Source organism: Homo sapiens, chromosome 1, assembly GCF_000001405.40.
Source record: "Homo sapiens chromosome 1, GRCh38.p14 Primary Assembly".
NCBI lineage: Eukaryota > Metazoa > Chordata > Mammalia > Primates > Hominidae > Homo > Homo sapiens.
Window position 1 is genome coordinate 248,809,439 of NC_000001.11, and position 27,597 is coordinate 248,837,035.

The 27,597-nt window shown below is 48.7% G+C and overlaps 1 protein-coding gene and 1 non-coding gene across 8 annotated transcripts, besides 10 other annotated features; one reads left to right on the forward strand and one right to left on the reverse strand.

Annotated features, from left to right (window-relative positions):
- Nucleotides 1-1,007: 1,007 nt before the first annotated feature.
- SH3BP5L (SH3 binding domain protein 5 like) lies at nucleotides 1,008-16,477 on the reverse strand. Of its 7 annotated transcripts, NM_001322462.1 has the most exons (9): nucleotides 15,315-15,928; nucleotides 11,709-11,823; nucleotides 10,965-11,474; nucleotides 7,384-7,446; nucleotides 7,096-7,224; nucleotides 5,273-5,439; nucleotides 5,011-5,172; nucleotides 3,551-3,724; nucleotides 1,008-2,932 (listed from the first exon to the last, which is right to left on the reverse strand). In NM_001322462.1, the coding sequence occupies exons 6-9, from the start codon at nucleotides 5,288-5,290 to the stop codon at nucleotides 2,462-2,464; spliced, it is 825 nt and encodes a 274-aa protein (NP_001309391.1). In that variant the 5' UTR covers nucleotides 5,291-5,439; nucleotides 7,096-7,224; nucleotides 7,384-7,446; nucleotides 10,965-11,474; nucleotides 11,709-11,823; nucleotides 15,315-15,928; the 3' UTR covers nucleotides 1,008-2,461. The 7 variants fall into 7 exon arrangements, with proteins under 7 accessions (NP_001309391.1, NP_085148.1, NP_001309393.1 ...); NM_030645.3 differs by lacking the exons at nucleotides 5,273-5,439; nucleotides 10,965-11,474; nucleotides 11,709-11,823 and adding an exon at nucleotides 16,397-16,477; NM_001322464.2 differs by lacking the exons at nucleotides 5,273-5,439; nucleotides 10,965-11,474; nucleotides 11,709-11,823 and adding an exon at nucleotides 16,397-16,477 and having other exon boundaries at nucleotides 3,551-3,807.
- Nucleotides 2,922-2,971: a silencer, noted in NCBI's record as "silent region_2049". NCBI's record gives its function as "represses an Ori minimal core promoter by ATAC-STARR-seq in GM12878 lymphoblastoid cells {active_cell/tissue: GM12878}" and the evidence as "EXISTENCE:reporter gene assay evidence [ECO:0000049][PMID:35858748]".
- Nucleotides 9,452-9,746: a silencer, noted in NCBI's record as "tiled region #9626; HepG2 Repressive non-DNase unmatched - State 15:Elon". NCBI's record gives its function as "represses a minimal TATA promoter and a strong SV40 promoter by Sharpr-MPRA in HepG2 cells {active_cell/tissue: HepG2}" and the evidence as "EXISTENCE:reporter gene assay evidence [ECO:0000049][PMID:27701403]".
- Nucleotides 11,272-12,471: an enhancer, noted in NCBI's record as "P300/CBP strongly-dependent group 1 enhancer chr1:249114909-249116108 (GRCh37/hg19 assembly coordinates)". NCBI's record gives its function as "activates an origin of replication core promoter dependent on BRD2, BRD4, P300/CBP, MED14 and CDK7 cofactors, with strong dependence on P300/CBP, by STARR-seq in HCT116 cells {active_cell/tissue: HCT116}" and the evidence as "EXISTENCE:reporter gene assay evidence [ECO:0000049][PMID:35650434]".
- Nucleotides 16,149-16,208: an enhancer, noted in NCBI's record as "active region_2875". NCBI's record gives its function as "activates an Ori minimal core promoter by ATAC-STARR-seq in GM12878 lymphoblastoid cells {active_cell/tissue: GM12878}" and the evidence as "EXISTENCE:reporter gene assay evidence [ECO:0000049][PMID:35858748]".
- Nucleotides 16,271-16,822: an enhancer, noted in NCBI's record as "H3K27ac-H3K4me1 hESC enhancer chr1:249119908-249120459 (GRCh37/hg19 assembly coordinates)". NCBI's record gives its function as "activates a minimal SCP1, AML or CMV promoter by ChIP-STARR-seq in naive H9 embryonic stem cells {active_cell/tissue: H9 hESC(naive)}" and the evidence as "EXISTENCE:reporter gene assay evidence [ECO:0000049][PMID:30033119]".
- Nucleotides 16,271-16,838: a biological region, named in NCBI's record as "H3K27ac-H3K4me1 hESC enhancer GRCh37_chr1:249119908-249120459".
- Nucleotides 16,579-16,838: an enhancer, noted in NCBI's record as "active region_2876". NCBI's record gives its function as "activates an Ori minimal core promoter by ATAC-STARR-seq in GM12878 lymphoblastoid cells {active_cell/tissue: GM12878}" and the evidence as "EXISTENCE:reporter gene assay evidence [ECO:0000049][PMID:35858748]".
- Nucleotides 16,823-17,373: an enhancer, noted in NCBI's record as "H3K27ac hESC enhancer chr1:249120460-249121010 (GRCh37/hg19 assembly coordinates)". NCBI's record gives its function as "activates a minimal SCP1, AML or CMV promoter by ChIP-STARR-seq in naive H9 embryonic stem cells {active_cell/tissue: H9 hESC(naive)}" and the evidence as "EXISTENCE:reporter gene assay evidence [ECO:0000049][PMID:30033119]".
- On the forward strand, nucleotides 16,939-17,005 carry MIR3124 (microRNA 3124). The gene has a single exon (NR_036070.1). It is a non-coding gene; the product is annotated as a microRNA 3124 (primary transcript).
- Nucleotides 16,949-16,998: an enhancer, noted in NCBI's record as "active region_2877". NCBI's record gives its function as "activates an Ori minimal core promoter by ATAC-STARR-seq in GM12878 lymphoblastoid cells {active_cell/tissue: GM12878}" and the evidence as "EXISTENCE:reporter gene assay evidence [ECO:0000049][PMID:35858748]".
- Nucleotides 17,069-17,168: an enhancer, noted in NCBI's record as "active region_2878". NCBI's record gives its function as "activates an Ori minimal core promoter by ATAC-STARR-seq in GM12878 lymphoblastoid cells {active_cell/tissue: GM12878}" and the evidence as "EXISTENCE:reporter gene assay evidence [ECO:0000049][PMID:35858748]".

A 27,597-nucleotide genomic window follows, 5' to 3' on the forward strand; every position in this document is an offset into this window, starting at 1 on the left:
ACCCAAAAACATATGCTATGCATTTTCATAGCAGCTTTTCTAGTAATAAAATATTATGACACCCATCTGCCAAGTCAGGGAAGGCAATCTCAAACTCCTGGACAGCACCCATCCAAAGGCACAGTGAGTGCTCAGCACATAGCGGCCCCAGATGGCCCCTCAGATGGCGTCCACAGCCACCAGGGTCACTGCTCTGATTGCGTGCCTCCAATTCTTGGCCTTCACCCTGCCCCTTGACCCCAAGGTTTCTGGTCTTCCTCCCTGCCAGCACCTTCTTCTTCCCTTGGCTGACCTCTTCTCAACAAAACTCCAAATACTGGTACACTCCAAGTGCAGCTCAGGCTAAACAAAGCCTTTTGCTCTTCTTCAAAGCTCCTGGAGTTCACATCCCTATCCAATCTCCCACCTGTGAGTTCAAGTGCCCTCAAACCCCTCCCATCCCCCAGCCAGTCAAGCCCTGACTTGGAAGTCACCTTTTATCTAGGTTTTAATTTCAGAGAAACAACGGATAATTCATAATGTAAGTACATCCTAAACACTGCAGCAGACAAAAATACTGCCTATCTGAAATTTCAGTGGGTTCACTGTATTGATAAATCTGGCATCACTACTTGTGTCCCTTCTCTACATTCATGCTCACATCCAGACACATCTAAGATCCCAACCCTCTGGCACTCTCATCTCTTAGCTCAGACAGAGCCCACTCCACCCCGCAGGCCCCTTTCTACCAAACCCTCTCCTGGCACCCATCACCTCACACAGCATGGCCCCATGAGGCACCAACTCCTCCCCTGCTTCTCTACACTTGCCCTGTACATGACCACCCTGGCCATGGGGCCTTCCACCCCCGCAAGAGCATGCATAGCGCAGCTCACTCAATCTGGTCCTTCACCTCCCTTCCCTGACCACACCATCTAAAAAGCCTGCCGCCTAACCCTGCTCTTCCCTTGCCCAACCCTTGCCTCATCTTTGCCCCTTTTCTCTTCCTCCAGCAAGGACAGTAGATGTTAACTGTTACATAAACTACTTTATTTAAATAAAACCAGGAAAGACCCTTTCCCCCTTACACACCAGCACATGCACACACGCACACCCACACCCTCCCTCCCTTTCGGCTGTCTGCCCATGGCCACCTCAAACCCCGAGGTTCTCATTGTGACCAACCTCCCTCAACCTGTAGACCCCCGTGCAGAGTCCAGTTGCCCACGCATCCCGGTTGCTGGCAGAACATGGGCCTAGAAAAGAGCACTCCATCTTCCTGGGGTGGGTCAAAAGGAAGGACTGGTTCTCCCAAGGCACCCAGATCTGGTGTGGCTTCCCTACAAACTGGGAGCACTGCCAGGCAGCTGGAGCTGCTCCCTGCGGAGGGCAGAACTTTTCACCCCAAGCCAACCCCTCCCTGTAACAAAGGAAGTAAGAGGGTTGGCAGCCAAGCTTCAGTGTGCCCCGAGGGATCCTGCAGTAGGTATTTTCAGTTTGGGGAAGAGCAAGGGAGAGCAATTGAGCACCAAATTCCCTAACCCCGTCCTGCAGGAGGGTGCTGAGTCAGTTCAGCATCCTCTACCCAGAAAAAGTAAACACAACTGTGCAGCAAGAGTGAGGGTGGGAATGACAGGGGCCTAAGCCTTCAGGACCTCATGACTTCACCCCCAACATGGGCCCTCTTAGGGACCCACTAGCACCTTGGCAATGTTGAGGACCCAGCCCAGCGGAAACACCATACCCACAGGAGCCAGTCTGGAGTTGGTGATGCTCCCTATGTTGACAGTGGGGTTGGGTTTCTCTCCCTGACACCAGCTTCCTGCAGGCCCTGTAAGTTCTGCTTTGGGGCACACATCGCAGAGTGCCTCAGGTCATGAAAGGGAATGCTGAAGGGAAAGGTGGTGTCTTCCGGAGGCACACAGTACATCTTACAGGTTACACACGGGCAGGCTGGAGCAGGACGGGGGGCAGGGCTCAGCAGCATACCTAGGGTACCCTCCAGAGTTGCCTTGGGAAGGGGGGCGGGGCTGGAAACCAACGGGAGGGGTGACTGTCCATCCCCTCCGACGGGAGTACTCAGGCCCAGCACCCATTTTCTCTGATGAGCTTCCCAGTGCCTTCTAGACCAAGTTCCCTGAGGGAAAAAGCCAAACAGATGGAAAGAGAGGGAGCAGAAAGGGAAAGCAAAGGGTCAATGCCCTGCAGATCGTGATGAGCTGGCAGGCAGAGGCAGACAGAGCGCCGAGGGCGAGCCTTCTGAATGGGTAAGGCAAAGAGAGCCGCCTGCTGAGGGGAAGGGGGAGGCTGTGAGAACGCCAGGGCAGGCACAGAGGACTCGAACACAGCTGGCCTCTCCCAGGGAAGCACTGGAGAAGGGGACCTTCGGGAAGACGAGGCCCCAGAGGAGAGGGCGTGAGAAGACTGTGGGCCCCAACCGGCCCGTGGTGGCAGATTCAAGCCAGGAACCCTGGCCCCTCGGCTACAGGCTGACGCTGCGCTGGTGCCGACCCCCACGGGCTCCGCCGTCGCTGCCCCGGCGCCCTCCACTCCGCGTTCCCAGCTCTTGGCCGTCCAGACTGACGTGGTCCGAGAGGCCTCGCAAGTGCTCCACGGAGTCGCACTTCTGCAGGTCTGAAGCCACCGTGCGCAGGCTCAGCAGACTCAGGGTATCGGTGTCGGGGGCGGGGCCGGGCCCCAGGCTGCTGCCCTCCTCCAGCCCCGCACCCTCGGCCCCCTCAATCCCGCTGTCTCCGTCCTCCATGTCCTCGGGTCCTGCCTCGGCCCCCACGGGGGAGGAGCGCCGAGGGCCCAGGGGGTGGGGAGGCAGACCCCCGCGGCGCCGTGCGTGAATCTGCTCGCTGATCTGCTCCAGGTTACGAAGGGCCACGGAGTAGCGCGTCTTGGCCTGAGCTACCTGCTGCTCCAGTTCTGTCACCTTGGCCTTGTGCTCCTGCAGAGGGCAGAGCAGAGCAAGGCGACCCATGGGGCACGTCTCCACCTTCCTCAGCACTCTGCACTGAGGTCTGAGGGCCTGCTCTCCCAGAATACCTGGACAGCTGGCTCAGCATCCACCACAGACCCACAACAGCCTTCCCTGCTCCACTCTCAGCACCCACCACAGACCCACAACACCCTTCCCTGCTCCACTTGCTCTGCGTTGTTCCTCCCCAGCAATCCTGCTCCTGACCTGAGCCCCACCTTCCAGAGCCTTCCTCTCAGGCCTTCCTCTCCACCAGCTCCTGCTTCCTCATCCTCTCCCCACTGTTCCCTTTCACCCAATGGCTGGTTCTTCTTCCCCATCCCAGATTTCCACCAGTTCTTTTCCTCTTGTTTACCTCCCTTCTTCCAACTACGTTCTCGCCGTCACCAGCCCCCATCACCAGCCCCCATCCCTGCCTCTCACTCCTGCAAGGTCATTTGGAACATGTGTGCCACCACCCTTCCCCACCGCTAGCCGGAGGCCTCACCCTGGCCACCTCACCAAGATGGCCCAGAGAGGCCGACCAGCATCCCCTCCAGCCTGCACCCCCACCTACCCATTCCTCCTCCCCCTCACCCACTCAGCTACCTCCAGGATCTGGCTGAACTGGGCCTTGAGCTCAAAGTAGGGGCGGCTCTTGCCGATGGCCCTCCGGAGGGTCTTCTGCAGGGCTTGGACCCGAGCCTCAGCCTGTTGGCACAGCCGAGTCACTCGCTGGTGCTCCCGCTCACCTCGAAGCCGCTCTTCCTCCGCCTCATTCACCTGGCCCAGAGGACACATCACTGAGCCAGGACCCATGCTTCAGTCTCTGGCATCTGCCCCAGGCTGCCAATCTGAACAACGCCCTGGGGGGAACCCAAACAGGAACATCCTCTGCAAACCCCCAACTGTGTACAGAGCCCGAGACACGCAGGGGAACACGGGGTCTATGAGCCTCAAGACAGCTTATTTCTGTCTCTCTTGGATCTGCTGCCTGACCGTCGAGGACCACATCACAGGCACATGCCTCTGAGCCACGTCTTCCCCATGTTCTTGCCTAGTGTCACCTGCACCACTGGCTACTCAGCTTTGCTGCTGCCAGGAAAGGGATGCTGGTGCCCACTCAACCACTTGAGAGCATCAGGGGAATGTCTGTCAGCACATCACACATCTGCAGCAGCCATTCTCTTCAGGGAGCCCTCAGCGCCAATGGTTAGGGATCTGGGAGTGAGAAGAGCCTGTGTGGGGAGCCACAGCTGTGCGCTGGGTTCTCCAGGTTTCCACACCCTATGTGGGCACCGTCCAGGACAAGTGGGCCGAGGTTGGATGGGGCTCTGGCGTGCTTCTGCTCAGGGTGTTGTACAGTTGGCCCACTTGTCCTGGTAGACAAAGCGGCTGGAGCCCTCACCTGCTCCCTGTTCAGGTGTAGCTCTACACTATACACCATCCCCTAACCCCTCCCCCCGTGCTGTGTGCTCTCATTTGCATGAGCTCTAGAGTAGAAGTGAGGTGCCTGTTCTGTGTGAGGGGCAGATGAAGAATCACAAGCCACAAACACCCCCTCGAGTTGCTGACACCTGCCCTGTGCAAGCTGAAGGTGGCAGACAGGGCCAACGGCAGAGATCCTTCCGCTCCCCAGTCCCCTTTCAGGAGCTTGGAAATGATACATAAATTATACTTCAAAACTCGAGGTGTACTGTCAGAGCTCAAAAGCAGGAAAGGGAGCAGACTCTGAAAACAGAAGCGAGGAGTCACACAGCTAAACATAATAAAATGTGAATGTTGAATCCTCAGTATCCACCAGGGATGAATTGTTTGGGTTAGTCCCACACCTGGAGGCAAACGTTCAAGAAGAGCCCGGGATGACATTCTAAGTCAGAGGGAAATGGAATATGGGAAGCAATGGAGGCCAAACAGAACAGAAAACTAGGAACAGGTTTTGCCTGAAACAGAATCAAAGTTGAAAGAAGGCTAGAATAGAGGGAAGAATGAGGAGGTGAGGTGATAAAGACATAGCAAAGGATGGACGAGAACCAGCGAAGGGGACCTGCTGGCACCGCCCGGCTCACCTTGCAGGTAGCATGGTTCAGCATCTCCTGCCACGTGGGGTCCAGTCGGTTCTTGTCAGCCATGACGCCCTGCTCAGCCACAAACACCATTTCTCGAGCAGCGTTGTGCATGCTTACGGCCCGCTCGTACCGCAGCGCTGCCTTCTGTGTCTCCTGCTGAGCCTGGGGGGAGAGGGATATCAGGATGGGGAACCCTGAGGGACCCCAGCTGCCCATGGAGACCCATAATAGACGTGAGGATAAGAGAAGGAGGAAGGCCTACTAGCAATGTCGGCTTCATTTCCCAAACTGTGCTGAGGATAAATGCCAAGGAAGCAACATTCTATAAAGAATATTTCATAAGGATATGGACTAGAAGAAATAAAAATTTTGCCAGTGGAGGGTAGATGTGTGAAATCCAGCACTCCCAAAGGCTGCTAGCCTTTTCCCCTAGGGAAAACAAAGGAAAACACAAACCATTTTAGTGTAAGGTGGTTAGCAACATAGACAGAGTCTTACAGAAAAGATGACCTTGAGACCATCAATTCCATGTTCAGCAGGCAAGCTGAAGGAAGTAATCAGACAAGTGCTCAGGGACAGTCATCATAGCCATACCAACCAAGCAAAAAACAAAACAAACCTAACTTTTCAGTTATAGGACATCGGTTAAATAAATAATAGTACATCTAATATAAGAAAATAAGCTGGGCGCAGTGGCTTCTGCCTGTGAGCCCATCTACTTGTGAGGCTGAGGGAGGAGGATTACTTGAGCCTAGGAGTTTGAGGTTACAGTGAGCTATGATCACACCATTGCACTCCAGTCTGGGCAACAGAGCAAGACCCCATTTCTTAAAAAAATAAAATATTAATCAGTCCTTTAAAATGACGGCTTGGATGTATAGTTATTGACATGGAACCATGTCATAATGCTAATAAAAGAACAAAATAGCACATACTGTGTAATCCCATTTTGGCTGGATATACAAGGACACGAAATATGATTAATACAGCACACATGGTTATCTGTGCTGTATTAATCATATTTTTATTTTCTATACTTTATGATGCTTTCATGTCTTGGGGGACCTTGCTGGCCAAGGACAAACTGCCCCTTCCAGGGCTAATTCCTAGAAACAGTAAACTCCCCTGTAAGTGTGCCTTTCATATGCAAACCAACCACCTAATCCAAAGCCTGGATCCCCAGCTAACTCCTTTACCTACTTCTCCCCGACCAAGCCGATATTTCCTCTGCCCTAAGTCATCCCAGGGCCAGGTACTAGACAATTAGAGGCCGCCCCTATAGCCCAGGGCCTAGCAAAGTTATTCCAACTATCCACTCCTAAACTTATCCAAACTTGCCTACCCTGCCTCACCTACTCCTTTCCACGAAAACCACACTAAGGCGCTGCGCTTTGCTTTCTCCTTCACTTCTGCCTCCTGAAGGACCCTGGCTGCTTCCCCGTGTGGCCCTGCATGGCATGGATGTCCCCTCCTCTCGGGAACAAACTCTTCTTCCAAGGCAGTTGTCTGTATCTGTCACCTCACCATACAGGATGACAACAAATCCCAGGAAACAAAATGCATGAAACGTGCATGGTAGGATTTTGGGTGATTTTTGTTTCCTTCTTGTTTTATTATGTTTTTCCAATGGTGAACACATATTATTTGTTAAAAGTAATTTGTTACAGAAAAAAGGGGTGTGGGATGGGGAAAAGAGTGAGGAGTAAGCAAAGAAAAGATTCAGAAGAGAGACATGAACCAAAGGGAAGAGGAAATGGGCGCAGATGAAAACAACAGGATGTTAGAACTGACATATCTGATATACCCTAAAGCCTGATTCCTGATACACAGAAGGCACTTAAACATTAGCAGGGCTGAACTAAATATTCTCCCACAGCCACCCTCACCATTTTATAGACCATAAGCCCAGAGCCCACGTGGTAAAGGAACCTCCTGAGCCCACAGAGCTGGTTCCGACCAGCCAGGTCTAGCCCAGGGCTCTGCCCTCAGGGTCTGGTGTTTTGTCTCTCACTCCATATAGAGACAGAAGAATCCAGGGCCAGGCTCAGCACGTAGCCTTCCTCAAACGTGGTCAGCCAGCCATACCTCCTTAGCCAGCCGCCGAGCCTCATAGTAGGGCCGGGCTTTCTCGATGCAGCTCCCCAAGTGGGAACCCTGTGTATTCAGTTTCCTCGCCGACTCCTGTAGGATCCTCCGATAGGTGGTCCTGGCCTCCTGGAAAGGAACAAGGCAGAGGAAAGGCACATGTTTGGGTCCCAGCCCCTCTTGTTTCTCAGACACACCCCTCCCACCGCCACTGCCTCAATCTGGGAAAGAGACAGATGGAGATACTTCCAAGGACCAGCCCAAGCACATAAGGAAAAGGACACTCACATCCAGCTGTAGTTCCACCTGGTTGATCTCCTCGCTGGCCTGGTTCAGGTGCTCCAACTCCTCCTGCCACAGAGAGGGGTGGCAAATTAGTGCAGTGGAAGGAAGTAGCCTTGAATGAACCATGCAAGGCAGGAGCAACACAGAGAGAGAGAGCCCCACTTGCCCAGGGAAATGAGGTGAGACACTCAGGAAAGGAAAGAAGATACGGAGATTGCCAAAAGCTTTCTTGTCTATCAGGGACCTGATACATACAATCTCACGTAATCCTCACAACTCTACCTTGTATTGGGTAGTAAAACCCCAGTTTCAAGGATGAAGAAATTGAGGTTTGGAGAATGCAACACTAATATGCACAACGTGAAGTTGTGGTGAGCCCTCACTCTCTCCGTGAGATTGCAACACTTCCTCAAACTGAGGGAGTCTCCTTGGACCTGAAGGCTCGCTCTCTGCGAGAGGATGGCCACCTGGGCCAGGGCAGGGCCACTCAGTCAGCACATGTTTACTGCACACTTATCACCTCTCAGGACCGTGAGACCTGAGAATTCAGGACATAGAGGTGGCAGCCTGTAAGGAAACCCAGCAAGTCAGCAGCAGGTCCTGGGCAGTATGTGCAGCCTTGTGAGGGGTGGGTGTGGGTGCTCTCTGGGTAGCAAGGTCACCTAATTGGGCAGCAGAAGGTCAGGGTAGGATGCCTGGAACACTTGCTCAGCAGCTGGAAGGACTTCATAGACACAAAAGTGCCAGTGAATGACTAGGCAAGGTGGCTCACGCCTGTAATCCCAGCACTTTGGGAGGCCGAGGCAGGCAGATCACCTGAGGTCAGGAGTTTGAGACCAGCCTGGGCAACATGGTGAAACCCTGTCTCTACTAGAAATACAAAAATTAGCCGGGTGTGGCAGCGTGCACCTATAGTCCCAGCTACTTGGGAGGCTGAGGCAGGAGAATCACTTGAACCTGGGAGGCAGAGGCTGCAGTGAGCCAAGATCACACTACTGCACTCCAGCCTGGGCAACATAGCGAGACTCTGTCTCAAAAAAATAAAGTGCCAGTGAAGAACAAAGGGCCAAGGAACCAAAGGGGAGCAGGTACCCTGGGCAGACAAGTTGGCAGGTGAGAAGGTCAGTAAGGCTACAGCACTATGGGAGGTAGTACCAGGACTTTCTGCAATGGCAAAAGGGTCTCTCAGAGCCTGGTGCCAATGTAACGAAAGCCTGGGGGAGCCAGGGAGACAAAAGTGGAGGCTGGGACAGGCATGGTGGCTCACACCTGTAATCCCAGCACTTTGGGAGGCAGAGGTGGGCAGATCACTTGAGGCCAGGAGTTCAAGACCGGCCTGGCCAACATGGTGAAGCCCTGTCTCTAGCAAAAACACAAAAATTAGCTGGGCGTGGTGGCACACATCTATAATCCCAGCTACTTGGGAGGCCGAGGCACGAAAATGGCTTGAACCCGGGGGGCAGGGATTGCAGTAAGCCCAGATCGTGCCACTGCACTCCAGCCTAGGCGACACAGTGAGACTCCATCACAAAAACAAAAAACAAACAAAAAAAAAAAGGTGGAGGCTGTCTATAGTATTCCAGGTGGCAGAGGAGAGGGCAGATCCCAAGGCAACGCAGGACACAGAATCACAGGGGCTTGGTGGATGACTAAGGTCAAGATCAGGAAAGTGTATAGAGTCCAAGAAGCCTTTTGGCCTGCTTGGGCAATGGGTGACCATGACCGCAGGTCCCTATAGAGCAGATCCTGTGGGAGGGAGGGAGAGTCCTGGGGAAAAGTTGCTGGACAAGCTGGTTTGAGTGCCTTCCTGGCCCCTGGAAGGACTGGAGAGAGAAGCAATAGAACCATCCAGGGCTTTCCATGAAATGGAAGAGAGCTGAGAGGGGTACTGGCCTCAAGTCATCCTCCCTTGCCCGAGAAAACACAAAAGTTCCCAGAGCCCCTGGTGAGCTAAGGACACTACTGAGGAGCAGTGCTGGTCTGTGCCAAGGGCCTTGTGCCAGGAAATACCTGGTGCCTAGCTATAGGATTTGCCTTCACCAGCCCCTGCTGTCTCTGGACAGGAGGCTGGACAGGCCAGAGAGACCCAGCCCAGCATGTGCCTGCTGCCCAGACCCATGACTTGCACTTGGCAGTGACACCACAATCACTTCCCACTCATATGGCCGTGATGTTGGCCCCCACTCACCTCATTCGGGCCTTTCAGCAACCCAGTGAGGGAGTCAGGCTGACATGCACAATCTTCCTTTTAGTCCCTTCTACCTCTTCTATCCTCCCCCCATCCCCTGCCTTGATCCTGAAAAGATCTGGGTCAGCAGGTAAGAATACAGGAAATGGTTTGACATGTTAATTACAGTAACAGGAAGAACACAAAGGTAGAAACCTGTAATGGAACGAGGAATGAGGATATGAAAATGCACACACCTACCTACAACAGTGTAGACCCTGCCTAAGGAGGGCCACAAATCTGGCTCTAAACTAGGGATGTCCAATCTTTTTGCTTCCCTGGGACACACTGGAAGAAGAACTGTCCTGGGCCACACATAAAATACACTAACACTAACTACAGCTGATGAGCTTAAAAAAAAAAAAAAAAATCGTGGGCAGGCGCAGTGGCTCACACCTGTAATCCTAGCACTTCAGGAGGCCGAGGTGGGAAGATTGCCTGAGCTCAGGAGTTTGAGAACAGCCTGGGCAACATGATGCAAAGCCCATCTCTACTAAAATACAAAAAAATAGCTGGGTATGGTGGCACACACCTGTAGTCCCAGCTACTGGGACGGCTGAGGCAGGAGAATCACCTGAATCTGGGAGGCGGAAGTTGCAGTGGTCTGAGATTGTGCCACTGCACTCCAGCCTGGGTGAAGGAGCAAGACTCAGTCTCAAAAAAAAAAAAAAAAAAAAAAAATCACAAAAAAAAATCTCATAATGTTTTAAGAAAAGTTTACAAATTTGCATTGGGCCGTGTTCAAAGCCATCCTGGGCTGCATGCGGCCCACAGGCCACGGGTTGGAAAAGCTTGCTCTAAATTTTCTCGAAGAGACTTATTCAACAGAAACGTAACAGGAGCTGCACATGGAATTTTTAATTCTAGAAGCCACATTTTTTAAAAGTAAAAAAATTTAAAAAAAGAGTGAAATTATAAAAATACATTTAACCCAATATATACAAAATATATTTCAACATGTGATCAACATAAAATAATATTATTATCCATACTTTTACTTTTTTAAACTAAGTCTTCACAATCCGTATGCACTTGACTCTTGTGACACATCTCAACCTAGACAGTGGCATGTGGCTCCTGTGTTGGGTGGCGAAGGTCTAGAAGTTGTTGTATTTGGGTAGATGCATCTACAGTGTCCCACAACCCAGTGTCCATAAAATAACAACCATTCTGGAAGAACAGGCAGCCAACACAGCTCAGGGCCCCAGAGGAGGCATAGGGTCAGCATCAACACTACCAGACACATGGAACTCCAAGTTTCACAGTGCCTTCCGAACAGAGACATCACCAGCAACTGACACGATCACCCCAACAGGCCCTAAAAAGGCAATGTCTGTCAAGCTGAAAGGCAACCTACCTCCCTGGGGGCCCAGCTTCCTGGGGCTTGACGAGGCCTACAGGGGCTTTTAGGCTATCTGGGAGACGAGTGACCAGTTCTTTCAGCACCTCCTGCTGGAATATTCTTTCTCAGCAACTTTGCATTTGATAGATGAGAAACAACCAGGCGGAAAATTAGTGACAGACTTGGGTCTGGATCCAGGACCGACCTTTGATCTCACTTTCCTTCCACTGTGACCACCCTCCTGGGAATGAGGACACCACTGGAAGGACATCTCAGTAAAGAAAGAAGTGCTGTAATCTAGGAAAACCACAGCCCACGTAGGAAAAGGACAGGGATTGGAAATGCAACAAACATTGATTGTGGGGGGTCAGTTGGTAAAGGCCACCCTGCAATGTTCATGTGGCAAATCAAAGTCCAAGACGGGATCCCCACTGGATTCCATGGCCTCAAATGCTTCCAGTCATCAACTTCCAGCTCCTGACAAGATCATCAATGGATTGGATGGCTCAGCATAAGTTGTTACTACTGTTAAAAGGACAAGAAGAGCTGTTGCTATTGGCAAGTGGCAGGAGTGGGCATTATCTTTCTATATGGGAACTAGCTTCCCAGTGGCACCTCCAGCAATTTACAGAAAGCCATCTGCTGATGGGATCTGTCCCCTCAGAGTCACAAAGCTCTCCCTAACAGGACAAGAAGATGCCTGGGGAGCAAAGCAGCCTGGAGGGCAAGGTCACCACAGGAGGGAGGGGGATAGCCCACCTAGGCGACACCCAGGGAAAGGCTGAGCAGGAATCCACTGAGGACCTGGGACAGTTTTGGGCAGTCAGCAACACATTCCATTTGGCCTGCTTCACCAGGGACTCCTGGCACTCAGCTGAAACGGAATTTGGGGAGGACAAAGTCTGAATCAACGTGCATCATCCATCAGTGAGCCAGCAGCCAGCAGGGAGGGTGACCTTCCCAGGGCACAGCAGTCAGATTCCCAGGATGCCAGGACACTGAATCAAAGGCATGGGGACTCAGGCTGCAGATGCTCCCACCCCACCTAGTGCAGACCATCAAAAGACTCAAACTAATGGTAACTGGGGCCAGGGTGATGACTGTCCTGTGAAAGCTAAACCCATACTTCTAGATGAGGTCACAGAGGTTGCAAAGTCACCCTAGAGAGTTTGGAAAGGAGCAGGTAAACGAGAGCACTCACATCTGAGGAAAGAATGCAACCACTAAGAGGGGGCTGAGAAAGTCACAGAACAGACCCAGGTCCATCCTAGATCCACGCTCCTTTCCTCTTCCCTCCACTGGAACCCTCTCGGAAAGCTGAGGATGAGCCTGGAGGACTCAAAAGAACTCCACTAAGATCATGACAAGGAGACACAGCCAGCAGCCTTCCCTGGAGGGACAGCACGCTCCAGGTAGGCACCAGCTGACTTCCTTCTAACTTCCAGAGGAATCCCACCATAAATGGCCATGGAGCTGCCTGCCTGCAAAGGAGCCCCAGCCCCAGGTCAGACAGGGCCTCATCCGAAGGACAGCCATTTCCGGGAGCCTCAGAAAATACCGAAACAGGCGCTCTACCTTTGGGATATACCTGGCCCAGTGGATTTGGCTCTGACTGTAACATCAGAATCCCTTCTCACCCCACCCAGACTAAGAGAATCCACATGTCTGGAAAGGCTCAGGTAAGGGTATTTTTGAAGCTCCCTGGTGGCTTTTTATGGACGGTGGATGGAAACCCAGTAAATGCACTGAGAATCCAGAGAAATGAACACCCACCTAAAGCACTGAAACACATGATCAGAGCAATGTGCATGGTCTAGTGAACTGTCAACACTCAAAGGGACCTCGAAAGACAAACACCCCAATCTCCTCCTCATCTTGAAAGCCCAAGCACAGAAGGGCAAAATGCCACCGGCCTCCTCCGTGAAGGGTGCCCCTCAAGCCAGGCTGCCTCTCTCACACAGCAAGAAGACACTGACTCCCTGCTGAGGTCAGAGCACTGGCGTACCCACACCTGTGTCATCAAATGAGGGAAGCTATTACTAGACCTTTCCTCCCTATACAACCCACAACATTCCACAACGTGTTGTGCAGTTTAGCAAGAGAGACGAGGGTCTGCTTTACCTTTCCTGCACCAGCGACATCACAAGTTCACTGGAGGCAAAGTAAGTCTTACGCTACCTCAGTGTACTCCAACTCTCATAGAGCTCATCTGATAGAAGAGTCAGTGATGACAGAATATTCTATTTATGCACTGTCAGTATAACATTGAGGAACTGCTTTTTTTTTTTTTTCTGAGACGGAGTTTCGCTCTTGTCACCCAGGCTAGAGTGCAGTGGCAGATCTCAGCTCACTGCAACCTCCGCCTCCTGGGTTCAAGCAATTCTCCTGCCTCAACCCCCCAAGTAGCTGGGATTACAGGCACCCGCCACAACACCTGGCTAGCTTTTTTTATTTTTAGTAGAGACGGGTTTTCACCATGTTGGCCAGGCTGGTCTCAAACTCCTGACCTCAGGTGATCCACCTGCCTCGGCCTCCCAACATGCTGGGATTACAGGTGTGAGCCACCATGCCTGGCCGAGGAACTGCATTTTTACATGTTAATTTTAATTGATTGTGTTTAAATAGCCACATGCAGCTAGTCCACCCTATTAGACAGCACAATGCAAGCATGACTCTTCCTACTACTACCATGTGCCTATGCAGACACTGGAAAAATACATAGGAGTAGTAGAGGCCAAGTAAAGAGACCACAGTGGATTCTCCTCTGCAGAAGCCTTCTCTGGAGCAGGGCAAGGAAGGCTGTAGGGAGGCATATAATGCACATTACACAGCCCTCCTCCACAAGCAACAGAGAGACAGCTCTTTCCCAAAGTGCTATCTACAAACTATCACCAAGGAACAAGCAAAAAGAGTTTGAGAAAGAACTGTAGACTTGTGTCAGAGCAGAGCAAGAATGAGTTGTGCAAATCAGCTAGACCAACTGCTCACTTTACAGATGAAGAAACTGAGGCTCAGAAACGTAAAGAAACTTCCATAAAAATCATAAATCATGGGGTTGGAGGTAGCGTGAAACTCAGCCCAAGACTTTTTTCACTACAACTGATTTCCTCAGAGGATGATAAATCTGTAGAAATAGCAAGAAAAATTGGCTGTTTTCAATGCAATGTCAGGCAGAGCAGAAATAAATTACTGACTCATGCCAGAAACAAATGGCTCACCACTGCTCCATTATAAGCATGGACACAGTAGAAGAGGAACCCACACACACACACATATCCCAGGAACCCACACAGAGAGTGAAGGAAGAATGCCAGGACTGGCTTTGATTTCTTCCCAACTCACTGGAGTAATCCAATAAAGGTTTGCTGACAGATAAGCCTAGGAATTTGAGCCTTCATATGTTCTTGCTCACCTACAGAAGAGTCACTTCCACAACATCAGAGTCTTGGAGATGTGACCGGAACAAATGGCAGACTCAAGCCCCAAACATGCAGGAGCATCCTGGTCGTCACCTGCCCAAGAAGCTTCCTCAGGAAGTCATTCTCAGCCAATTCCCTGAAACACTGCAACCCAGCTTTGATTGGCCAGGCATCTCTTCCACATGGAGTTGGTCTTCCTCACTGACTACCCCCAGGTCTCCTACACAAAGATCTGCCTGTCCTACCAACTAGATTGTAGACACTCCAAGGCAATAAACTGCTCTTCCATTCCTTTAGGAGACCCACTATCCTGAGGGCCAGGTATGTATGTTACTAAGGATTGGCCACAACAAAAGTTACAAATCCTTGAACATATGGGGTTTCTTTATAGATCTAAAGTTGATGCTACCTTTATAACACTGGAAAGGTCTCACTGTTTACAAGGGTGAAACACATTATCAGAGCAATGTGGGCCGCACATCCCTGGAAGGTACCGCTGAGAAGGTGAGAAAGGGGAAAAGATTCTCTCACTCAGCCTCAAAACTGTCCCCCAGTATCAAAGTCATCTCCTCTCACACAGCATCCCTAACTAAGGTGGCAGCCCCTCTGCTTATCTGGAAAGAAGTACAACACACCTACCCTCCACTGACCTAAAGTGTGCCTCCTCCATCTACTGCCAAGTGACACTTTGCTCCTTCAGTGAAGCTTTCAGCAATGCCTCCCAAGCACTAAGGCCAGGCCTTTCTCTGCACTCCATCAGCACTTCAGACACACAACTCTTTTGGAACTTGTTACATTACCCTGCAATGATTTGTTGACAAACTTGTTCTCCTTTCCTGCCCCAGCAGACTGGGGACAGAGTAAGTCTAAGCCCTCATTCATCCAACACTCTTCAGGGAGGCTGGAATCTGGGCTCTCCTTCTCTCCCTGCTCTCAGTGCTCTCACCTGTATTCTAGGATCCAGTTCTTCCTCCTCTCTTGGGGACAATTTGGCCTCACTGCTGCTGCTTCCACCTCCTCCAGGCTCTTCTGCGACTGGGCTCCTAGGGACTTCATCCTCTACAACTTCAGGCCGCAGCTCCCCCTGTGGGGTCTCCCGCCCTCCTGGAACCTGTCTGAGCTCAGCCATGCTGACAGGGGGAGGGCAGAGCCCTATGCACAAGAGAGGACTGACATGCTGGGACCAGGGCCCCAGCTTGGGGCTTCCTGGGCTCTAGATGGCCAGGAGAAGAGTTTCTCTTCTCAAAAGGCAGAAAAGGTGGGCACAGGAAGAACCTCACACTAGGTTAGAGGTTGAGATTCAAGTTGTCAGTGGGGTTCCTAGAGCTGAAGCCTTGTCTGTGCAAAAGTTCTTCCCTTCCCGCCACAGGGAGTCCACTGTGACAAACCCGGAGCAACAGCTCCAAGGCAGGGGGCAAAGGGGGCTTGGATCCTGGACCGAGGCCTGCTAGGAGGAGCACCATTCGGGAGGGTGGAGGCAGGCGCCTCCAGGCTGTGGTGGCAGCTGGAGAGAGAAGGCTGGGCCCGAGCTGAGGCTGTAGGATGAGCGTCTCTGGGGAGCTGCAGAGAAACAAAGGCCAAGTATATGGTCATGTCAGCATCAAAACCGCAGCCACCAGCCCCTTCCAACTCTACAGCCTCCCAAAAACTACACTCTCACCACGCCCCCACCCATGTATTCCGACCAGTCCCTACCTCAACTTCTCTCCTTAGCCCTCAAGGACTTTAGATTCTACTCTTCCCCCGTCCCAGCTCCTCTCGACCCAGGCCCTCCTCAACCAGCGCCTTCGAGACTTTCCTCTGCACCCCTAGGCTCTCCTCCATCTCCTGTGGTCTCCCGCTCGTCCCACTCCACCCCAGCCCGGCTTTGCGATTCACCTTGTAACCCCGAGCCCCACCCCACCTTCTCTGTCCAACCCGAGACATCTAAGCCTCCCGTCTCCAATTCCACACTCTTCCGCAATCCCAAGGACCCTACTCCCGTCCATTCTACCCAGCCATGCGCAAAAGCCCCCCGCACAGCCTTACCTCAGTTTACCTTCCCGTCCGCGGAGCTTCTATGCTGCAAACAATCTCCCCCCCTCCCTCCCCGCAACAAGCCGATCCAACCAAAAACGACCAGGCAGACCAGAAGCGGAAATACATCATCGGTGAACAACGCTCTCCCTCCCACGCTCTCTCTCAAGCCGGGCCTCCTCGGGAGGCCTCACACTCCCCCGCCCTGCCTTCAGTTTCCGTACAAAATGGTGCCCCACGTTGCTCAGGCTAGCCGTAGGTTGCCTCCAGACCATACTCCACCAAGGCTGAATGAAAGAAAAACATGAGAATGTGGTGCTGAAGAAAATTAGGGCGCGGGACGGAAATCGAGAGTAACTGGTGAGAAGAGGAATACTAGATATAAAACGGAGATAATAGCCTCAGAGTGAGTAGTGCCATCTTGCTTTACGGAGCTGCGGCGGCGGCTGCCGGAAAGCCACTTCCGGCCTGCTCCACGGAGGCGGGCGCGACGCCGAAAGTGAGCTGGTAAACTTCCGGCAGTGGCTCCGGGGGCAACTCGAGTCCGGACGCTGGCGGGCTTCGCGGGCGAAGGCAAAGTCGATTTCCAAAAGTGACTTTCCTCACTCCCGTGAAGTCGGCGGAACCCTCCACTAACGGCGTCTGAGCGGACGGCTCCGATGTGTAAATCCCACTCCTCGAGGCCTCTGGACCTTGCACCTTGAACGACGTTTTGGTGGGGTCACCAATTGCTCCGTGAATACTAACCAGGAACTTAGTCAACATTAACTCAGTTAATTCACTCGTGCACCCAGGGTCAGATGCCCTCGATGAGCAGGAGTTTGTTACATGGCATTGTGTATCGTTACCTAGGTCCCTGAGCGAGCGCCTGCTTGTCACCTCTAGGTGTCGCTTGGTGAGGGGAGGGCCTAGGCCTAAGGGGAAGGGCTTCATTCAGGGTTGGATGTTTTGTTTTTACAAAAGGCGTAACTTCCTCAGAGTCAACTCAAAACTTTGCCCTGCAGATGGAAAAGGCAAATGGGCTGAATTCCCCTCCTTTTTGGATCCTGTCAAAGACAACCCAGCTAGACATTGAAGCAGTGAAAAAGACTTTTTTCAGTAACTACTTACAGAAAGGAAAAGAACTGACCTCTGTTCCGATTTGTACAGAAGTGACTGGGCATTTCAAAGGGAGAATGAAGGAAGGAAGGTGATCAGGGCTCAATAGTGTTGGAGAAGTGAAAAATTACAGATTTGATTGGCATAGATGCGATTCGGCCAGATGTGTCTGCTAGCTAGCAGCTATAGAAGTTAGAGTGCTTTTTTATGTATTTATTTATTTTGAGACGGAGTTTAACTCTTGTTGCCCAGGCTGGAGTGCAATGGCGCGATCTTGGCTCACTGCAACCTCCGCCCCACCCCCACCCCCGAGTACAAGAGATTCTCCTGCCTCAGCCTCCCGAGTAGCTGGGATTACAGGTGCATGCCAACACATCTGGCTAATTTTTCTATTTTTAGTAGAGACGGGGTTTCGCCACGTTGGCCAGGCTGGTCTCGAACTCCTGACCTCAGGTGATCCACCCGCCTGGGCATCCCAAAGTGCTAGGATTAGAGGCGTGAGCCACCACGCCCAGCCTAGCTTGCTATTCTTGCACTGAGATTGGGAGGTAGAGGCTCTGCCCTTCTTGACGATCAATTTCAAAGGAATGGCTCTCAGGTCCTTTAGAAGGACCTCTTGAGTTGTAGCAGACGCATAAACACCTTAAAGAGAAGAAGGAAGGATTCATAATGGTAAGCCCTTAATAAACGCCCTGAGAAAGGGAGGTCAGGAGCCTATCATCAGGTGTTGGCTAGAACAAATAGTAAATTCTCCTGGTAGCATTGAGCTTTCTCAGGCAGGCATTTTCATGGGGGAGCTGGGGTTCTCCTAGGGACATGATCTGACACTGCTAGAAGGCATGCTAAAGTTTGTCTCTTAGTAACTCAGAGGTTTGGATGGAGTCATGTGCCAAGAGTTCTACAGTTCTCAGTCCATTTCTTCTATCCCTTCATCCCATGAATAACGATTTTTTTAAATTGAGCAGAGCAAAATATATTCCTTTAAAAGAGGTGATTGAAAACAGATTTTTCCATTAAATTGGAGGTTTTGTTTTTAAAATTACAAAAGTGATTTTTCTAATTTCAATAAGTCAGCAGGACCTTGAGTAACATTGTCTAAGTGGACAGCTTTGATGGATAATAATGCCTCAGTCTTCTACCACAGTCCTTTTTATTATTAAGGTGCCATACAAAAACCATAAAAATTAAATATAAGGTGATAAACATGATTTATTTGTTGTCTACCAGTCACTTTACTTTTGTAGAACTAGAATTTCACTGTAATAACCTCATTTTACCCAGGATGTTCTGTCTACCCTAGCCTGAATTATCTAACCTTTCTTATTCAGCACTGCTCCAATACCTGTCATTCTTATACCCCATCCCATAGCTCCTTTTCTCTGTGTAATGCTTAGCAATCACAAACTGCTGCTACGTGTCACAGATCTTTGGTGGGAAAACATTATGAATACATATAATGGCCAGACCCCTAGATCACATCCTGAGATTTAGCAGCTCCTTTAAAGTCTCCACTGGCCTCTTCCAAGGTTAACTCTCACCCACTGAGACCACATGTGAATCTATCATGTATAGATTGTGATATAATCCCACAATAGTTTTTCTGCTGGGTTTGGATAATGTTTTGGGTAGGAAGAGATTGGGCGATGCTGTGCATTGATTTAACCTGAACTTGTTTATTGAAGCCAGCACAAACATGATGAATTAAAACTTTTGTCTACAGCAGCACTGTCTGAAAGACCTTTCTGCAAAGAAGGAAATGTTAATCAGCTCTGCACAGTATGGTAGTCTGTAGACACATGTGGCCATTTAGAACTTGAAATGGAGCTACTGTGATTAAGAAGTTGTATTTTTTATTTTAATTTAAATAGCTCTGTGTAGCTAGTTTCTCCTTTCCTGGACAGCACGTTTTTAGAACCTGCCTTTTCTATATAATTTCTCCAGAATACATACTGAACTTTCACATCTTCAATACAAAACAAACAGCCTCTCAGTCTCCACTATCATTTGTCTTTTCTCCACTTCCTCCCTTCCCATTCACCCCTACAGTCTGGCTCCGGATGCTGCCAATTCATAGGAATTACAAAGATAAGGTCATCCATGCTCTCAATATTGCCACATCACTGACATCTGACACTGGGTTATTTCTCTCTTTTTTCTTATCATTTAGCTTCTGAGTCACCCTGGTACTGGGTTTCCTCTTCTCTGGCTTGTTGATTCATTCCTTTATGCAATATGTCTTTACGGAGTGCCTATTACGTGCCAGAATTTCAGGCAATGATGAGAAAAAGGACACTATCTCACTTCCCATGTAGGTGATAGTCTATGGTGCTCATTTTATTTTATTTTTGTTTATTTATTTATTTACTTATTTTTACTTATTTATTTGAGATGGAGTCTCACGCTGTCGCCAGGCTGGAGTGCAATGGCACGATCTCAGTTCACTGCAACCTCCGCCTCCCAGGTTCAAGTGATTCTCCTGCCTTAGCCTCCTGAGCAGCTGAGACTACAGGCACATGCCACCACGCCCAGCTAATTTTTTTGTATTTTTAGTATAGACAGGGTTTCACCATGTTGGTGAGGCCGGTCTCCAACTCCTGACCTCAAGTGATCCACCTGCCTCAGCCTCCTAAAGTGCTGGGATTACAAGTGTGAGCCACCACGCCCAGCCGATGGTGCTCATTTTATAAACTGGTGAGATTCAAACTAATTGGAAGACAACTCAGATATATGTTTTACCTTGCAACCCAGTATACATATATGTGTGTAAATATATTCATTAAAAAGGTACAGGACCTCTCCCCTCTCCCCTCTCCCCTCTCCCCTCTCCCCTCTCCCCTCTCTCCTCTCCCCTCTCCCCTGCACGGTCTCCCTCTGATGCCGAGCTCTCCCTCTGATGCCGAGCCGAAGCTGGACTGTACTGCTGCCATCTCGGCTCACTGCAACCTCCCTGCCTGATTCTCTTGCCTCAGCCTGCCGAGTGCCTGCGATTGCAGGCGCGCGCCGCCACGCCTGACTGGTTTTCGTATTTTTTGGTGGAGACGGGGTTTCGCCGTGTTGGCCCGGCTGGTCTCCAGCTCCTGACCGCGAGTGATCCGCCAGCCTCGGCCTCCCGAGGTGCCGGGATTGCAGACGGAGTGTTGCTTACTCAGTGCTCAATGTTGCCCAGGCTGGAGTGCAGTGGCGTGATCTCGGCTGGCTACAACCTCCACCTCCCAGCCGCCTGCCTTGGCCTCCCAAAGTGCCAAGATTGCAGCCTCTGCCCGGCCGCCATCCCGTCTAGGAAGTGAGGAGCGTCTCTGCCCGGCCGCCCATCGTCTGGGATGTGGGGAGCGCCTCTGCCCCACCGCCCCGTCTGGGGTGTGAGGAGCATCTCTGACCGAATGCCCTGTCTGAGAAGTGAGGAGCCCCTCCGCCCGGCCGCCGCCCCGTCTGGGAAGTGAGGAGCCCCTCTGCCCAGCCGCCACCCCGTCTGGGAGGTGGGGGGCCCCTCTGCCCGGCAGCCGCCCCGTCTGGGAAGTGAGGAGCCCCTCTGCCCGGCCGCCACCCCATCTGGGAGGTGTACCCAACAGCTCATTGAGAACGGGCCATGATGACAATGGCGGTTTTGTCGAATAGAAAAGGGGGAAATGTGGGGAAAAGAAAGATCAGATTGTTATTGTCTCTGTGTAGAAAGAAGTAGACATAGGAGACTCCATTTTGTTCTGTACTAGGAAAAATTCTTCTGCCTTGGGATGCTGTTAATCTTACCCCCAACCCCGTGCTCTCTGAAACATGTGCTGTGGCCACTAAGGGTTAAATGGATTAAGGGCTGTGCAAGATGTGCTTTGTTAAACAGATGCTTGAAGGCAGCAGGCTCCTTAAGAGTCATCACCACTCCCTAATCTCAAGTACCCAGGGACACAAACACTGCGGAAGGCGGCCCTCTGCCTAGGAAAACCAGAGACCTTTGTTCACATGTTTATCTGCTGACCTTCCCTCCACTATTGTCCTATGACGCTGCCAAATCCCCCTCTCTGAGAAACACCCAAGAATGATCAATAAATACTAAAAAAAAAAAAAAAAAAAAAAAGGTACAGGAAAAGATCTTTACCCAAATTATATGTAAAGCACATTAATATTTTTATACTATTTTTAAATGCTGGTGGAGATCTCTTGTTGATTTCATTACCTATTCACAGTTTGAAAACCCTGTCCTAAATGTTACTGTACCCCAGGCCCTGATGTTAGCTTCTGACCATCTCATGCTGCCTACTTTCCCTGAGTGTCCTTACCCTAGTGCATGGCTGTAGTCCTTACCCATGGCTACTGTTCCTTCCTTAGAGCTCTGTCTTCACAGACTTTCCGCAGATCACATTCTGAGATCCTTCAGCCTTTGAGATACCGCTGGCCTGTCCCAGAGTTGCCCCTCTCTCATGGATCCAAATCTGATTTCATCCCCTTTGCCAAATCCTGCTCTTCTGACATTCAATGCTGGTAAGCGGTTCTACAGTCCACCTCTTTACCCTACGGAAAAACCTAGAAGGCACCCCCCACATTGCTTTTCATCACACTAAGTATCTCAGAGAGATGCCTTCTGTTCATCTCATTGCCATAGCTTCAGCTTAGACTCTCCTCATTTCCATCATAGATCACATACCTCAGAAGTCTTCTAAATCAGCGCTTAAAGTAGCACTTAAGCAATGATGGAAGTTACTATATTTGCACTGTCCAATATGGTAGCTACTAGTCATGTGTAGCTCTTGAGCAGGTTTAAATAGCCACATATGGATCCTGCCACAAGGATCCCTCCTAGTTCCTGGCACTAATAAACAACCAACCAATCCCTATAGACTGACTTTATGAGTGAAATGTAAAAATATGAAAGCCATATAAAGATGTTAGCAACACTGTCAATTACTATGTAATATCACAAATCAACTTTACTTCTTAGTTAAATAATTTTTTCATAAATTTTTACTTGTAACTTTTATTTCTAATTTTCTCACATAAGTACCCTAAATTGCCTCCATCATTAAAAATTACCTTTTTTAGGTTTTTTTTGTCTACCAACATAAGCTACCTTTTTATAGTTCTTAACTTTTTTCTACTATCAGTTATATATTTAATAAATACCACCATTAATTGCTGATTAAACATATTAGTTGACAAATATATAGTAATAGAAAGCAGATCAGTGGTTGCCTGGTGGGGAGGTGGTAGAGATTACAAAGTGGCATGAAGCAGCTTGTGGGTAGTGGATATGTTCTCCATCTTGATTGTAGTGAGGCTTTCATGCGGGTATATATATGTCAGAGCTTTTCAAACTGTACATTTCAGTGTGTAATTTGTGTATCAATTATACCTCCCTAAAACTTTTTTAAAAATCCAGTTGAAAACTTGCTCCCAGAAATATATAATGTAAAATCTACTAATAAATGTTAATGGAAGGGACAGCCTGTATTACGCTTATTTGTTTATTTAACTTTTTAGAGACAGGGTCCTGTTCAGTCACCCAGGCTGGAGTGCAGTGGCCTGATAATAGCCCACTGCAGCCTCAAACTCCGGGGCGCAAGCAATCCTTTTGCCTCAGCCTCCCAAGTAGCAAAGACTACAGGCCTTCACCACCATGCCTGGATAATGTTTTGATTTTTGTTTTTGTAAAGATTGGGTCTTGCTATGTTGCTCAGGCTGGTTGTGAACTCCTGGCCTCAAACAGTCCTCCTGCCTCAGCCTCCCAAACCATTAGAATTACGGACGTGAGCCCCCACGCTTGCCCTAAACCTGTATTACTAAAAATCTTTATTTTTACCCTTGTTAAATCTGCTGAGTTTTCCAGAGGTAAATTACTTCCCCGAGTTGCTCATCACATGTCATAATAAAAACAGCAAACACTTATGCAGTGTATGCCTTGCACCTGGCACTGTTCTGGTTTATTCATTTGATCCTCACAAAAACCAACTACAGTAAATTGTACCTTCATTTTACAGTTGAAGAAATTGACAGACAAGGAGATTAAATAACTTGTCCAAGGTCATACTGCTGCTAAGTGGTGGAACCAGTCTTTAAACACAGACAAAAGTATTTAAGATTTTTAAAAATAATTTATAGCAACACATCATATATTAAATGTATCTACTTACATTTTAAATGCTCTAATTTGTGAAAATAACCAAAATCAAAATGCTTTCTAAAGATCCGACAGGTTTGCATGTGATACCATTATTATTTATACTACTGTTCTTTTTTATTTTATTTATTTTTTATTTTTTGAGATGGAGTCTCGCTCCGTCGCCCAGGCTGGACTGCAGTGGCGCGATCTAGGCTCACTGCAAGCTCCATCTCCCGGGTTCATGCCATTTGCCTGCCTCAGCCTCCCAAGTAGCTGGAACTACAGGTGCCCACCACCACGCCCGGCTAATTTTTTGTATTTTTTAGTAGAGACGGGGTTTCGCCGTGTTAGCCAGGATGGTCTTGATCTCCTGACCTTGTGATCCGCCCGCCTCGGCCTCCCAAAGTGCTGGGATTACAGGCGTGAGCCACCACGCCCAGCCCCTATACTACTGTTCTTAACCTTTAAAGTGGTTTCAATTATAAAAACTGATTCTATCCTACCTTGCATTTTACTTTGAAACTGATTTTCCCCCTGAAAGTTCTGCTTTATGATTTTAAGCTCATTTTCTGTGTTTTGTTTTGTGAACCACTGAGCCTAGATGTGAATTTTGAACATAATTTCCATATAACATAACTCAAAAAATTGTGGTTAAGGACTAGGAAGCAATTTGTATTTTAAAGGAAGTTGATCTTCAGATATCCTCTAAACAAATATTCTACTTTTGTGCTATTCCAATTTTATCTACTTTACTATAGCTCTTCACAATTAGTTTACCTGTACAAATGTAAAAATAATTAAAGTAGCATTCTCTCCGATGGAATCGTGTTTGAGCCCTTGAAGTTGACCACAGACTGTAAGCAGCACAAACTCCAATAATTTTCTATTAAGATTACTGTTTAAAAGACATTAAATCCTCTGTGTCAAGCCATTAAGATTAATATGTGTGTTATTGATTCAATTTATGTTTTTGCTTATCTTCTTGTTTCCTGAAATCCATTTTGATATGGCTTTACAATATGTTTGCAACTTGCAATTAATACAAACCCTTATTCCTTAAACACTAAATAAAATCTTCATTTCAGGATTTAGTCAGCCAGTCTTTCCAGATCTTATTATTCTAAATTGTTAGATTTCACTTTTCTGTACTTGGTTCTTTCCTGTATTTGAAAACTGTGTCAGTTGACATCTGTGGAATTATTCGGGGAAGAACTGGAAGCTACCATGCTCTAGAAGCCAATATTTTTATTGTAACTGAAATTAGAATGTTTGAAGAATGGCAAACATTGTATTTAGCAATACAGGAATAAGATTCATGAAATTGAAACAGTCTTCTCAGTCCTTATACCCCCAGTAACACAGTAAGCCTTCAGCATCTGATTTTTGGCATTGTGAATATCCACTGGGCTCACATTTCAGACAGGGATTTGAAATAGTGGTCTATACCTTAGCCCTACTTACTTGCCTTTCAGTTGCCCCCAACAGCAACGTAAGCCATGTACTATGTGCCTGCTCTGCATGCCTATAACTTTTACTTCCCTTCCTTTCTGTCTCACTTCATAAACCACTGACAGTGCCCTCTAGCCAAACATAACCACCTTGATGCTGTTTGACTTACTTCAGCATTGGACATTGTCCACCACTTCCTCACATGGGAATCTAAAACCTGACCGTGTCCTGACCTTCTTCCTCCCCAAAGCCTTTACTGGCTTCCCCTTCTGCAGCTGCTTCCTTTTGGAGGCTGGTGCTCTAGGTATGGTGCCTTCAGCCCCTACTAATCCACCTATAGCCTCTTAGAAATGTCATCCACGCCCACGGCTTCGCGTATTCGCCTCTAACTTCCTAGTCTTTACAAATCCTGATACACCATGGCTCCTCCTCTTCTCACTGAGGGAGGCCTACACCCTTGGGTATGGGATAGACTCTATACTGTAAAGGAACATAATTTATTCATCTCTATATTTCTATTACCCAGCCAGGTGCAGACTCAGTGGGTCCTCAATAAAAGCTTCTGAAAAGGAGGAATTCCTTGATTTAGCCCAAAACTTATTTGCATTTCCTCTTCCAATACCTTCACCCACTCTACCTTCTTGAATTCCTGTCCCACCCCACTCAGCATCTTCCACAGGATTCTGAGCCTCCTCCACTCACTCAGTCTGGATTGAGTGCATGCTCACTCCCTTCCTGTTCATCTAATCCCTCTGCCTGACCCAGTCCCATCACTTATATTGCAGAAATCTGCCACTGGGGGTGTGTGGTGGGAGGTGAAAATCATTGTCACCTCCATCCACAGATCCCTATACAAAATCTTGGCTACATGCTGAGCCAATGAAGTTTACTGATGACCTATTGCAGAATTACCCTATTCTTCCTGTTGTACCTTTATACCACTTTGTACTTTGCACATGATGGGATGGCAAGGTCTGTGGGCGGGGGGAGCGGTTGCCATCCCTCAGCATGTCCTCAAAGGACTCAGTCTCCATTTTGTCTCCGATACTCAGCCCATTTCTTTGCACATAGCAGGTGTTCAGAAATGTGCATCCAGCCTCTGACTCTGCCCTCAAGCTTATAATTTAGTAGGAGAAATAAAGTATGCACATTATTCTAAAGTACATGGTGGCCAGGCATGTTGGCTCTTGCCTGTAATCCTAGCACTTTTGGAGGCCGAACACAGCAGATCACTTGAGGCCAGGAGTTCAAGACCAGCCTGAGCAACATGGTGAAACCCCATGTGTACTAAAATTACAAAAATTAGCCAGGCATGTTGGTGCGTGCCTGTAGTCCCAGCTCTTTGGGATGCTGACACACAAGAATCACTTGAACCTGGGAAGCGGCTTCAGTGGGCCGAGATCATGCCACTGCACTCCAGCCTGCGTGACAGAGCAACACTCTATCTTGAAGTACATGGTAAAGGATGTAAATAACAGAGTAAGTGTCTTATGCATCTTGTGGCTTGCAAAGATAATAAATACTTAGGGAATTTCTGGGTGAACAATACTAGTGGTCTTCAGAAAGAAGATAGTTTTCACTTTGAGAGTGGGTTGGTGTTTGAACAGAAGTCTGAAGGATAAGTAGGACTTTGGTAGACAAGAAAAAGTGAAGGAACAGGAGAAGTGTATGCCAAGCTGAGAGAAACGTAGAAGGTAGGTGGGGAGTGATCCAGTTTAATGGAGAGTTTAAGAGAACAGACTGGAAAGACAGGTTGGAATAGGTGAAAGAGGGTCTTGAATATTACACCAGAAGAGTAAACTTCATTTGGTGATTGTACAGACTTTTTTGACTATTACTGAGCAGGAATGTGATACAATCAGAACTTTGGGGAGATTCATCTGGTAGGTTCACAGCTGTTATCTCCAACGTCTAGAATACTACCTGGCATATAGTAGACCTTCCATAAACATTTTGAGTATTTACAGAACCACATTAAGAGTTGTCATTTATTGATGTAGATGTGTAGAGAAATAAAACCATTTGGATGTGATATTTTTAATTGACAAATATACACATAACTTCATCCTTGAACTTTCTTTCACTACCCTCCATCTTCCTGTTACAATTATCATCCCCCACTGTGATGACTTCCATAACATAGGAAACCTAAATCCAGCTTCCTGTTCTTTCCCCCCATTGTTTGAGTTTTTCCCTCCAAAGCTACACAGAAGAAAGTCATCTAATCCAGTCCTCTTTCACATGAAAGTTTGTTAGAATTTGTGTACAGTCATTATGTGCACAAAAAATGTTTCTCTTTCTAGGTTAAATATCCCCAGCCCCTTTAATTATGTGACCACCCTAGTCACCATCCTCTTCATGTCTCTGGGATTAGCCAAGTGTGTCAGTGTCCTTAAAAACATGACATCAGTACTGAGCAATGAGTCCAGAAATGTCTAAATTAGTACATTTCTCTGGCTTAAAGACTCTGGAAATATCCTCAACTAATCATTCTCTATATAATACTACCTTATCTGTGTATGATTCTTTACAATAAAAATATATATACTTCAAGCGCATTTTCCATGTCTCTCTCAAT

Excerpts from the sequence above, each read along its gene's own strand:
- SH3BP5L (NM_030645.3), bottom strand. The coding sequence starts at position 15,497 with ATGGCTGAGCTCAGACAGGTTCCAGGAGGGCGGGAGACCCCACAGGGG. Across the intron at positions 5,173-7,095 it reads CTCGGCGGCTGGCTAAGGAG|GCTCAGCAGGAGACACAGAA; the intron begins GTATGGCTGGCT and ends CTCTCCCCCCAG. Across the intron at positions 2,933-3,550 it reads AGTTCAGCCAGATCCTGGAG|GAGCACAAGGCCAAGGTGAC; the intron begins GTAGCTGAGTGG and ends TGCCCTCTGCAG.